This window comes from Homo sapiens, chromosome 14 (genome assembly GCF_000001405.40).
Source record: "Homo sapiens chromosome 14, GRCh38.p14 Primary Assembly".
In the NCBI taxonomy this organism is placed as follows: Eukaryota; Metazoa; Chordata; class Mammalia; order Primates; family Hominidae; genus Homo; species Homo sapiens.
The window spans coordinates 64,100,423-64,114,022 of NC_000014.9; the positions used below are offsets into that span (position 1 = coordinate 64,100,423).

Consider the following 13,600-nt stretch of genomic DNA (forward strand, 5'->3'; position numbering starts at 1 on the left):
GGAGAATTGCTTGAACCCAGGAGGCAGAGGTTGCAGTGAGCCGAGATCACGCTGTTGCACTCCAGCCTGGGTGACAAGAGCAAAACTGTCTCAAAAAAAAAAAAAAAAAATATATATATATATATATATATATATATATATATATATATTTATGACATGTATGATGTTTTGATACAGTACATGTATATATGCATTGTGGAATGGCTAAATTGAGCTAATTAACATACATGTTACCTCACATACCATTTTTTTTTGTAATGAGAAAACTTAAAATCTACTCTCTTCATGATTTTCAAACATATATTAACTATAGTCACCATGATATACAAAAGATCCCTTGAACTTATTCCTCCTGTGCCCTTTTTTTAATGTCCTTTGACAGACATTTTTGTAATCCCTGGTCGCTGGTAACCATTGTTTTATTTTCTGCTTCTATGAGTTTTTTTTTTTTACATTCCACATTAAAGGGAGATGATGTGGTATGTGTCCTTCTGTGCCTGGATTATTTCACTTAACAGAAGATCCTCTAATTTACCCATGTTGTTGCAAATGACAGAATTTCCTTATTTTTTAAGGCCAGATAGTATTTCAGTATGTGTATATAACCACATTTTCTTTATCCATTCATTTGTTGGTGGACACTTAGGTTAATTCCGTATCTTGGTTGTTGTGAACAGTGCTGCATTGAACATGGGAGTGCAGACATCTCTTTGACATACTGAGTTTTTTCCTTTGGATATGTACTCAGTAGTGGGATTGCTGGTTCTATTTTTAGTTTTTTGAGGAACTTTGATACTGTACCAATTTACATTCCCACCGACAGTATTCAGGGGTTCTGTTGTCTCCACATCCTCATGACCACTTGTCATTTTTATCTTTTTTATATAAGCCATTCTAACAGGTGTAAAGTAGTATCTCACTGTGGTTTTAATTTGCATTTCCCTGGTGATTAGTGAGGTTGAACATTTTTTCTTATACTCGTGGCTGTAATTTTAAAGATAGCATTTTAATTTTTCTAACTTTTACGTATTTTTAAATATTTATTTAGAGATGGGATCTCACTCTGTTGCCTAGGCTAGAGTGCAGTGGTTCTCACTGCAACCTCCAACTCCTGGCCTCAAGTGATCCTCCCACTTCAGCCTCCCAAAGGGCTGGGTTTATGGGTGTGAGTCACAGTGCCTGGCCTCAAAGATACCATTTAAGGTTACATTTACCAAAGCAGATTAAATTCCTAAAAGCACCATTTTAAAGATTTCCGTTGTGTGACGTGAGCCGAGCCCCTACTTTTAAAAGTATTTTCTAGGCTTTAGGAAGAGCAGCCACATTTGTAAACATGATATAGTTAGTAAAAAAAATACAGATAAAAAAATGGGGGAGGACTGCAATAAAGGGCTGTGGTTACACTGCCTGATAAGTTGAGTCTGGTATAAAAGACGTGAGTGAGTAGGGCACCGGTTATGACAGTAAGGGAAGCTCTTCCCTTTGCTAACCAATCGTTTACTGTGATAGAATGGAGATGAGAAGGCAGAGCCATCGCCTCAGTCTTGGTCTTCACTTTGGAAGCATGACAAGGACATGGAAGAAGACAGAGCTTCCTCATCCTCTGGAACAATTGTTCAGGTAATGCTGGGCGTATCAGCCACGCTTAGGGGTTACGAGGGCCCAGGGGGGAGCAGGGATCTCTTTCTGCACGACTTTCTTTCCCTACACCCCTGAGACGGACTCGCTCTGTCGCCCAGACTGGAGTGCAGTCGTATGATCTCAGCTCACTGCAACCTCCGCCTCTTAGGTTCAAGCAATTCTCCTGCTTCAGCCTCCCAAGTAGCTGGGATTACAGGCACACGTCACCACGCCCAGCTAATTTTTGTATTTGTAGTAGAGACGGGGTTTCGCCATGTTGCCTGACTTTCTATGTTAGCTTTGCTTCCTCTCTTCCCTCTTTCCTTTGTTTGGTTTTCAGCAAGCACTGCCTAAACCTTTAAAATGCCCATTTGTAGCTCAGACAGGAATAAAAATAAGGATAGTAAAGAACTATTTTGTTTAAAGGAATGCTTAGGGAGGGAACCTGCATGGGCTGAATTTTTTTTTTTTTTTTTTTTTTTTTTAGCTGACAACCATTGTATATATTTATGGTATACAACATGTTTTGAAATGTGTATACGTTGGAAATGGCTGTATCAAGCTAATTAACATATGCATTACCTCACATATTTGTCATCTTTTCAGTAATTAGAACACCTAAAATCTAGTCGCTTAGCAACTTTTAAGTATACAATACATTATTATTAACTATAATTGCCATGTTATACATAGATTCTCTTGAACTTATTCCTGCTGTTCAACTGAAATTTTGTGTCCTTTGACCAACATCTCCCCAGGCCCTCTCTCAGCCCCCAACAGCCCTGGTAACCACCATCCTATTCTCTGCTTCTATGCAGTCCATATTTTTTAGATTACACATGTAAGTGAGATCATACAGTATTTATCATTCTGTGCCTGGCTTATTTCATTTAACATAATGTCTTCCGGTTCATCCATATTGTCACAAATGACAGAACCTCCTTCTTTTTGAAGGCTGGCTAGTACTCTGTTGTGTATATATGCCACATGTTCTTTCTCCATTCATCAGTTGATGGACACTTCGGTTGCTTCTCTATCTTGGCTACCGTGAATCTTTGAAAGCTTCTCACATTACCTTTGCACAAATGCAAAGACAGCCTTAATGAGCACCTGCTTGGTTCTATTTCTATTGTGTACTTAATAACAGGAGAGTACTTTTTTTGAGGAAAACTCCATATATGTGAAAATCCAAACTGACCAAACAGATACCTCAAAGGAGCAGCTAAAAGCTTCACTGCACTGTTTTACCAAAGCATGTAAATTAACATGCCACTCTTTTGGGAGTTTTGGGTGGAGGGTCTCTCCATAATCTTTTTTTTTTTTTTTTGTGGAACAAAGTAGTATGTAAGATAAATTAGATGCGCTAAGTCTTTTTACTCCTTATGACATTCTAAATATTTTCCAGTCTCTCAAATGGTCTCACTTTAGAAAATCATTGTAAGGCTATGTGAAAACTACGTGCTTCCTTTGCTCCCGGAAGATCTCTGCATCCTCGTGATCCATAAACCTCTCACTCCTGCCTCCTGTCCAGGGCTGACCCCTCCCCCTGCTCTCAGGCCAACTCTTTCCTTAATCATTGGCGCCATTCTCTGCCTATACCTGCCTTGTCAGTCTCTGCCTCTGGCTAGGTTCCTTCCTTCTCTACCTCAGTACTCAGGCTTCCCCTCCCTAACATGTTCTCTTCCTTGTGGCCCCACTACTTCAAACAGAGAGATAGTTCCAGAACCAGCCTGCATCTTCAGTAGCTCCACAGAAGGCTTTGGTCCCTGGGATGCCCTTTCTCCATGCCTCTCTGTAGACTTCCTTCCCATCCACAAAGACCCATCTCAACTTCCCCTGCTCCAAGAAACCTCCTGACATCCTGCAAAGGAAATTGCTGTCTCTTTCCCTGTTTTCCAATAGGATTCTGAACCTCAATTATGACTTAGCACATTTTTATGAATACACCTGATACGATTTCATGAGTGGAAAGAAGCTTATCGTTTATATCCTATACTCAGCTCAGTATGGTACTTTAATGAACTGAATTTCTGGATCCTGCTTCCCATGTCAATTACTACACTTCGTCTTTCATTTGCTACTGAAGGTCTTTCCTTGGTGTTCTACTCCCTCGGCCCCTTTTGTAATCTTGTTTCAGCCTCTGGCTATGCTTAAACTGCCATTGACTTCTGGAGTACAAATTCAATACCCTTTTATTAGTCCTAATCCTTATTGACCTCTCTGGGAGTGACCACCTCTTCCTTCTTTAACTGCGGTGTTCCTTTAACTTTCTTAATTCTGTTCTTCCCTGTCCCTTCTACCTCTAGTCCCTCCTCCATCTCCTTTTCTTGCCCCTCTTTCTCTTTCGTCTGTGATGGTAGGCATTCCCCCAATGTTCTGTCCTCTTCCTTCTCCCTGTTTTCTCTTTTTTTTTTTTTTTTTTTTTGAGACAGAGTCTCGATCTGTCGCCCAGGCTGGAGTGCAGTGGTGCGATCTCAGCTCACTGCAACCTCTGCCTCCTGGGTTCAAGCGATTCTCCTGCTTCAGCCTCCCGAGCAGCTGGGATTACAGGTGCCCGCCACCATGCCTGGCTCATTTTTTTTGTTTTTAGTAGAGACAGAGTTTTGCCATGTTGGCCAGGCTAGTCTTGAACTCCTGACCTCAGATGATCCACCTGCCTTGGCCTCCCAAAGTGCTGGGATTACAGGTGTGAGCCACTGCGCCCGGCCTCTCTGTTTTCTTTCAGGGCAATTTTATTTCCTCTGAGAGCTTGTGGTCACCTCTATGCCAGTGATTACCAAACTAAATCTCTAGTCTTGGCTTTTCTCTTAAATCTATAAATCTATTCCACATTTCTATCCTCGTGATAGACTTTTTTGGGATGGAGTTTCTCCAACTCAAACCTATTTTACCACCTTTCCTTCAAAGCTTGCTCCTCTTACTAATTTCTCAGTGTCTGCTGTTGGTGCCACTATTTTCTCAGAGATAAACTTTGGAGTTCTACTAGGTGCCTCATTTCTCTCACCTGTCACATCCTGTCAGTGGCCAATGATGTCCATTCACTGTGTACAGCCTCTCCTCCCATTATTTTTGCCATCGTCTTATTTCAAGCAATTCTTATTACTTCCCTGGACTTTTGGAGTAGCCCTCTAATTGGTTTACAGTCTCCAATTGTTTTTCCTAATACATCTTATAAAATACTGATGACTTTTCCTAAAACCAATCATGCGAAACCTCAGCCTAAAATTCTTCATGGAGTTTGATTATCTACTGAAGAAAATGCAAACTTAGCGTGACATTCCAGATTTTCCTGGTCCCCGCCTACCTTTCTAATTTTATCTAATCTCTACCTTTAATTCTTGGTTTATACCTTTCTGATAACAGTCACTGTTTTCAGTAGAAGCTGAAAAGACACTAACATTTTGTTAGGAAATGCTAAATGCCTTATATATGTCACTTAATTGCAAGCATAGGTAAGATAGGTTTTATTCCCATTTTAAAGGTGAAGTAACTGAGGTTTCAGAGAGTTCAGGTTAATTTGTCCAAGATCATACAACTTGCAAGTAGAGCAATCAAGGTTGGTTGATTATAATATCCACATGCTTTCTGTCACGTTGTGTTAATTCTTTGTGTACATGTCATTTTCCCATTGCTTAACTTTGGTTAATCTTAAAAGAAGGATTGCTGAATCAAAGTATATATCCATTTAAAATGTGACACACATTTTCAAACTGCCTTCTAGAAAGGTTATACCAGGCTAGGTGCAGTTGTCTCATGCCTGTAATCCTAGCACTTTGGGAGGCTGAGGTGGGCGGACAGCTTGAGCTCAGGAGTTCAAGACCAGCCTGGGCAACATAGTGAAACCCTGTCTCTGTAAAAAATACAAAATTAGCCGGTCGTGGTGGTGCATGCCTATAGTCCCAGAGATTGAGGTGGGAGGATCACTTGAGCCTGGGAGATGAAGGTTGCAGTGAAGCTAAGATTGCACCACTGCACCACAGCCTGGTGACAGAGTGAGGCCCTGTCTCAAAAAAAAAAAAAAGAAAGAAAGAAAAAGAAAGGCTATACCAACAATATTTCTCCTAGGTATACATGGAATTGCATTTCCAGACCCCCCCCCCCAACCAACACACAAGCTGATTTTTGATATTGTCAGTCTTAGCCAAACTTAGCCAGTGGTTTAAATTAATTTATGTTCTAAGAATGTTGAATATCTCTTTAGATGCCTATTGGCTTTTGTAACTCTTCTTTTGCGACTTGCTTGTTCCTACCATTTGACTGTTTTTCTATGTAGGGGTTGATGTTTTCCTTATTATTTATAGAGTAATTAATATATTAAGAATATTGGCCGGGCATGGTGGCTCACGCCTGTAATCCCAGCACTTTGGGAGGCCGAGGCGAGTGGATCACGAGGTCAGGAGATCAAGATCATCCTGGCTAAAACGGTGAAACCCCATCTCTACTAAAAATACAAAAAATTAGCTGGGCGTGGTGGCGGGTGCCTGTAGTCCCAGCTACTCGGGAGGCTGAGGCAGGAGAAGGGCGTGAACCCAGGAGGCGGAGCTTGTGGTGAGCCGAGATCGTGCCACTGCCCTCCAGCCTGGGCGACAGAGCGAGACTCCGTCTCAAAAAAAAATATTAACACTATGTGTAATAGTTATCCCAGTCTGTCATTTCTCTTTAACTTAGATTATGGTATCTTTTGTGGTGCATATTATTTTATTTTTTTATGTAGTCAATACTAATATTATTTTCCTTTCTTGTCATGCTTCCCCACACCTAGAATTTTTATGGCATAACTTTGAGAATACAATGAGAATTTATTGTTAGGGGTGATACAAGGATTCTAGTTATATTTTTCATAACTAGAATTTATTGTTAGGAGTAATACAAGAATTCTACTTATATTTTTCATAAAATGCCTTGGTAGTTGTTCCTAAATGGAATAAATTCACCTTTTCCCCACTCTTTGAAATGTGGCCTTTATCATATAATTAATTGATTAATTATTTTGATAGAGACAGGGTCTTACCATGTTGCTCAGGCTGGTCTCAAACTCCTGAGCACAAGCAATTCTTCTGCCTTGGTCTTCCAAAGTGCTGGGATTATAGGTGTGAGACATCACACCTGGCCATGTAATTTAAATTTTCATAAGGACATACTTTTAAAGAATACTTCAACAAGACAAAGCATACTTCTGGAAGAATTTACTTAAGTACGTAATTCTCTAGATTGTTTATGTGCTCATTAAGAAGAGAAGTGTGGAGAATGCAAGTCTTTCAAATAAAGACAGTCTTGGGGAAGCTGATTTTTTCCCTAATGAACAAACTTTTTTCTAATCGTATCTGACTTCTCCATATCTGACTTTTTTGCAAGCAGGTAGTTTGTAAAATGAGCATGCGCAGAAAGAAGAATTCATGTGGCACCAGGGCAGGACCCTTTCTGGAGCTCTGATTCTTTTCTTTACAGGAAGCATATGGGAAAATAAGCACCTCTGATAATTCCATGGCACAAATCCTCACACCAGACTCACTAAACACTGAGCAAGGCCCAGAATGTTCCCTAAGGCCCAACCAAACAGAAGAGGTAAGTCCTGGTTGGTAATAAGTAAACTGCTCAGATAGCTGGACTAGCACCTAGAGATGACCAGTGTTCTGTGTCCTGCAATACCTTGTACGTCAAGCTAAGTGTTCCTTGTGAACTTTAACATATGAAGATATGTGCTGTCAAGCTGTAGAACTGGAAGACTTGTCATCAGATATTTACAAAGAAAATAGGCATGGCATAGAGAATTAGACGCTTTTCACTCATTTACCATTTGTCATCATGAAATAGTCTTTCTGTTGATGACTACTTCTTTAATCTGTAGATAGAACTTATGGGGGCAAAGAAAGTAGAGAAGGGTTAATATTGATTAATAGCCTGTTACATAAAAGGCATTTATAGTTATCTGTTTAACCCTCAGACTGTATAAGGTAGGTTCATACCTACCATATGTTTACAAATTAAGAAATCAAAATTCAGGGAGTAAAAATATAGTTAGTGGGCCAGGCATGGTGGCTCAAGCCTATAATCACAGCACTTTGGGAGGCCAATGCAGGTGGATCACCTGATGTCAGGAGTTTGAGACCAGCCTGACCAACAGGCTGGTGAAACCCCGTCTCTACTAAAAATACAAAAATTAGCCGGGCGTGGTGGCACATGCCTGTAATCCCAACTACTCAAGAGGCTGAGACAGGAGAATCGCTTGAACCTGGGAGGAGGAGATTTCAGTGAGCCAAGATTGCGCCACTGCACTCCAGCCTGCCTGGGCGATTGAGCAAGACTCTGTCTTTTAAAAAAATGTATATATATATATATGGCTTGTGAATGGAGGAATAAGGAATCAAACCCAGAATATTCTAATCTGGCTTCCTAATTTGGAATCTTGTACCTCAGTTGTTCTCAATAAGGCCTTACAGCAGGGTGTGGGGGATGGGTACTATTTCCCAAGTTAATTTTGGTGTTTAGCTGGACCTAAAGCTCCAAGGGTCTCATCAAATAGCTCCTATAAAAGATATTGGCATGTTTTTGCTGTTTTTATTGTTTAATTATTGCATCTCTTTTCTTCTTTTATACTGAGTTCTATTTATGTTTTTTTCTCCCAATCTTTTGTCTAGTCTTACAAAAATATCTCTTAGTTCTCAAATTGTTACTCCTTTCTCTTCTTTCTTTCCCTCCCTTTCATTCTCTGTCTCTCTTAACAATATATGTCTAGGAAGGTGGACAAATGTCAGAGGTTTACACCCAGTGGCAATGCTTAGGTCTAAGGAAGTTGCTGACCTAGTCAGTATGTTTTTTTGCTGTTCAGAATTAATCTGGGTTTTGTTCTGGGGACATGGTCTCACTCTTCACCCAGGCTGGAGTGCAGTGGCCACAATCATGGCTCACTGGAGCCTCAACCTCCTGGGCTCAGGTGATCCTCCCACCTTAGCCTCCCGGATGGCTAGGACCACAGGCACACACCATCACGCCTGGCTAATTTTTGTATTTTTTCAGACACACAGTTCTGCCATGTTGCCCAGGCTGGTCTCGAACTCCTGGTCTCAAACCATCTGCCCACCGTAATGTTATTTTTGACATCTAATTAAAAATCAGATGTAGCTTCAATGGTGTTTTAGCTACAGTAGCCATTCTGCTTAATATTGTTTCTGCTGGTGTGGATAACCTCTAGGGTCTTTTCCCTGGCCATGTGGATACTAGATAATGATGACAATAAAGAGAAGGAGGAAGAAAAAGGAGGATAACAAAATACTTACTGAACATTTAATATGGGCCAGGTACTGGGATTTTACATATACTATCTCTTTTAATCATTAACAACAGCTCTATGAGATAAATATTACTGTTACCCCACTTTACAGATGGAGAAACTGAGGCTCAGAGAAGTAAGATGCCCAAGGTCATTTAGCTAGTAAGTGGCAAAGCTAGGATTCAAACCCAGATCTTTCTGACTCTGAGTTTAAAACCTGAGCTTTGAACTATTAGGCTCCAGTGACTCTCTTTTGAACTAATTTATGTATGTGTGTATTTGTATTTTCTTCTTAACTCAGAACTTTTGCTGGGGAGGAATTCTTGGAGCAGGAAAAATAGATGTTACCCTTTACTACAGGAGGAATTTGTCCACTTCTGATTATTCAGGGACACCTTTACTGGCTCCAAGTTCCATACCTCTTGGTGACTGTCTTCCTGCCTTTTAGTGATTTCTGTCTCATTGGCACAGCACATCACTAATGAGAAGGAAAGTGGGGACTTTGCAGAAACCAGGCAGCCAATGTCATCAGCCTTCTATCAGCCTCAACAAACCTTTTGTTTCAGAGGTTAAGTGTATTGACCAAATGATAATTGCATAATTTTTAGTAAAATTCTGAGTCATTCTTGACCCGTATTACAACCAAGGATAAATATTTAGTATGGAAAAATGTGAAAATGTGAAATCAAGCTAGGCATGACCTCAGAGTAAACCACCACCATGCCATTCTAGGGGCATGCTTTTCATTTATTCATGTGCAGTTAGGTACTGTACTTTAGGTATGCAGTTTTACATTTCATAAGCAGTGGGGGAGATATGCAGGTATAAGCAGTGGGGGAGATATGCAGGTATTTGTAGAATTGACTGAAATATTAAGGAGAAAATGTAAAGGTTTGCTATTTTGGCATGAAATGTAGCAATAGCCAGAAAATCAACTTGCATTTTAACTGCAGTTTTTTTTACTGATTACTGATTACTTCACTGATTACTTAGATCAGTGTTGTGTTGATGCAGAAGTGAAGCAATGTGATTCACCAACTGAAAAGTTAACTTGGATACTAAAAGGTTGGTGAAATTATATCAAGAATGTGGACTTGTAGATTCCAAAGTGTAGTGAAAGCAGGAATTGCTTTTGATTCTGTTTACTAGTTGTGTGACCATACAGTGCCTGCTCATGGTAAGAGCCCAATAAAGGCTAGCTATTATTAATTTACAGTTATGCTTTAGAGAAGACATATTTATTTAATAAGAAATACTTATAGTAATACTTTTTACACCCCCCCCCCCCCGCCAAAGTGTACAATTATAAAACATCCATTTAAATAAGTTTTGCTTTTAGAATTTGGGGCTATCATATAGAGAAGGTATTTTACAGGGATGCTACTGTGTAAAAAACAAGGGAACTCTGAATTAAAAGATCACAGAGCTGTGTGACCTTGGGTTAGTAACTTGGGTGCTTCTCAGAAGCAACATGGTAAAAAGGGAGGCATGTGGGCTGATTGAACATTCTGTGCACTTGGATTTCTTAGACTTTAAAAAGAGGTGGGTGAACTGATCTCTAGTGGGTTCCTCAGGCCACCCTCAGCTCTTGAAGCTGTATGGTTGGAAATATTCTTTTTGTCTTCTCTTCCCCTTTGGATTCTTTTCAGGTTCAAATAACTAGCAAAAAAAACCCAGATTAGTCATGCAGCTTGCTTATTTCCTCATTAATTTGGTGAGTTCATGAGAAAGCAGAGAAACTCAATACTGTCATTAAAAAAAGTGTGTGGAGGGCTGGGTGTGGTGGCTCATGCCTGTAATCCCAGCACTTTGAGAGGCCGAGGCAGGAGGATCACCTGAGCCCAGAAGTTAGAGACCCACTTGGGCAACATGGCAAGACCCCATCTCAAAAAAAAAAAAATGTGCGTGGCATATAACAGGTGCTCAAATAAAATTTTTGAATAAATAATGAAGGCAGGTGGTAAATCTGTGATTACAGATTAATATTAATAGATTGTCTTAGATTAATTAATATTAATAGATTGTTCTCTCAAGTGGCAAAAAAAGGAAAGGGAATTCCAAAATCTTTGTCTGTAGCAATATCTGAAAACTAGATATAGCAATATCTGAAAACTAGAAGGGAATTAATCAGATGACTAGAAATTGATATCTGGAAGTCTGGAAGCAAAATCACACAACTGTTGCTTTTTTTAAAAAAAAATCAGGGCCAGGCGCTGTGGCTTATGCCTGTAATCCCAGCACTTTGGGAGGTCTAGGCGGGTGGATCACTTGAGGCCAGGAGTTCAAGACCAGCCTGGCCAACATGACAAAACCCTGCCTCTACTAAAAATACAAAATTAGCCAGGTATGGTGGTGTGTGCTTGTAATCCCAGTTCCTTGGGAGGCCAAGACAGGAGAATCACTTGAACCTGGGAGGCGGAGGTTGCAGTGAGCCGAGATCATGCCACTGTACTCCAGCCTGGGTGACAGAGGGAAACTCTTCCCAAGAAGAAAAAAAAAGGTCAGGATTAAAAAAGAAAATTAAAACAGTTGAATCCAAGCATAGACTTGACTATATATGAAGTTCAGAAAAAGCACAACACAAGGAAAAGTTTCCTTGAGAAGGTTTTCAAGATTCTTGAAGAAAATTATAATAATAGATTAATGAAGGCAGGGAAGAAATGGCATTTTGGCAGAAAACAGCACATGTATGTGAAGATAATAGATGGTGAAAGGTAAAAAGTACAACCCAAGACACTTGTGCCAGACCAGCTTTCATAATACTCATCAGTGTGCATGAAAATGAACAGCATTCTCATGCCTGACACGTGTTTGTTACCACCTACCAATTTTGTTCGCTCTTTTACACTGAAAGTTCTATGTCTAAACAAAATTCCGTAAACATTGAAGAATGTGCATTTGAGTTAGGGTATATATTTGCAATCGATTCCCATTCAAAGTTTGTCACTTGGCTAGAATTACATTTTATTATTAGATGCTAACACGTTAACAAACTCTTATAGAAAACATTGTATTTTATCATAATCAATAAAATATTTTTTGAGAGCAAAAGGTTTATACAGCAAAACACAAATCCTTATTCCTAAAGGAATTTCTCTAGAAGTATCGATACTACTTTTTCCATATTCTGAGGAAGGATAGATAATACAGTGGGAGGTAAATACATCTCTCTATCCAATTATCTTTTGCCTCCAGGTTGAACATATCTAATATATAATTACTGGAATACTTTCATTTGGTATCTGGGAGAAAATTTTCCAATCAGTTGATAAACAACCCAGTTATTTCAATGTAAAAAGAACACACCACACTTTCTTTATACTGTGAGCATCTAGTCCTTAACTCAATCATATTCGAGTATGCAGAAGGGGAAGGAAGGTATTTTAGGGATTCCTTCTGAGGAATAGGAAAAAAGTTTCCAGGTTACCCCACTGAAGTTCATTACTTGACTCAAGCTGTTTTTATTAGGGAAAAATTTAGATAAGTAATACCATGTATGTTTTTAAAAAGCTAAAATTTTTATAATCTAACTATTTGAGAAGATGTCAAGTTAAAATTATGTGGTATATTTTATTGTATCCCTGCTGGGAGGTAAAGATCGTGTTCTGTTTTGTTTTGTTTTTCTGTTGGAATAGAGTGTGCAGCAATGTAAGCATTGCTTAATCATGTGTCACGTAACGCTAAACACTGGCCAATTCCCTTAAATGTTTCGGACACACACACACCCTGTCACTCACATTCTCACCTGTCTCCTGGGGCTCACCGGGTAGTGAACTGTGAGCCTGTTTGCGTCCTCTGTGCCCGGGAATACTGTACCTGCTTACTCGCAGATCGGCTGCTTGGAAACCTGTGGCACCAGGTCACGTGATTGTTGCTATGAGTGTGGAGGTGCATTTCTCTTTTCTTTCTTCCTTCTTCTGTCCTGATTTTGTTTCTTTTAACTGGGGAAATGTTGCAGGTTCCCAGGTCTTTGCAGGCCCAAGTCTGAAAACTTTGGACTCCCTGGCTTATCTTTGGATTTCTCTTAGGGCACCACACCTCCTATTGAGGCTGACACTCTGGACTCTTCTGACGCGCAAGGAGGTTTGGAGCCCAGGGTGGAGAAAACTAGGCCGGAGCCCACAGAAGTCCTGCATGCCTGCAAGACCCAGGTGGCCGAGCTGGAGCTGTGGCTGCAACAAGCCAACGTGGCAGTTGAGCCGGAAACATTAAACGCAGACATGCAGCAGGTGCTGGAACAGCAGCTGGTAGGGTGCCAGGTAAGACTGAGAAGTCAGAGTTCATGGTTTGCCTCTCCACCAATCATCTGCCAAGATTGGGTGAATTTCTCTTAAAGCAACACTGTTTTTCTTTCTGTTACTCTGACCCTTACATTTATCTTGGCCTCAGCTTTTAGTTCTCAGGGTAATTCTTTGAAATGCTTTATGGAACTATCTTATTTGAGGGGACAGTAGTGTTCAGAATCTAGGAGTCTAAATCCAGCTCTGTCACATTAGCTGTGAACTTCGGGAAGTGAACTTCTCAGCCTCATTTTCCTTATATAGTAGGTTATCTTATAGGATTTTTGTCAGGATTAAATAAGGTATTTAAAGTAGTGTCGCAGGATTTAAATAAGGTATTTAAAGCAGTGTCATAGGATATAAAGTTATCTCATAGGATTTTTGTCAGGATTAAATAGGTATATAAAGTATATAACAAGTGCTCAGTAAA

General features: G+C 40.0%; 1 protein-coding gene across 29 annotated transcripts in view; it reads left to right on the plus strand.

The window, feature by feature from the left end:
* The window catches only part of SYNE2 (spectrin repeat containing nuclear envelope protein 2), a 464,854-nt gene that overhangs the window by 338,827 nt on the left and 112,427 nt on the right, over positions 1-13,600 (plus strand). For 26 of the 29 annotated variants that reach the window (XM_047431152.1, XM_011536576.3, XM_047431149.1 and 23 more), the window contains 3 exons: positions 1,510-1,620; positions 7,069-7,185; positions 12,919-13,149. In XM_047431152.1, the coding sequence (XP_047287108.1) occupies positions 1,510-1,620; positions 7,069-7,185; positions 12,919-13,149 (459 nt within the window). The remainder of the gene's footprint in view (positions 1-1,509; positions 1,621-7,068; positions 7,186-12,918; positions 13,150-13,600) is intronic. The other 3 variants (XM_011536582.2, XM_047431157.1, XM_047431158.1) reach the window with 1 other exon arrangement.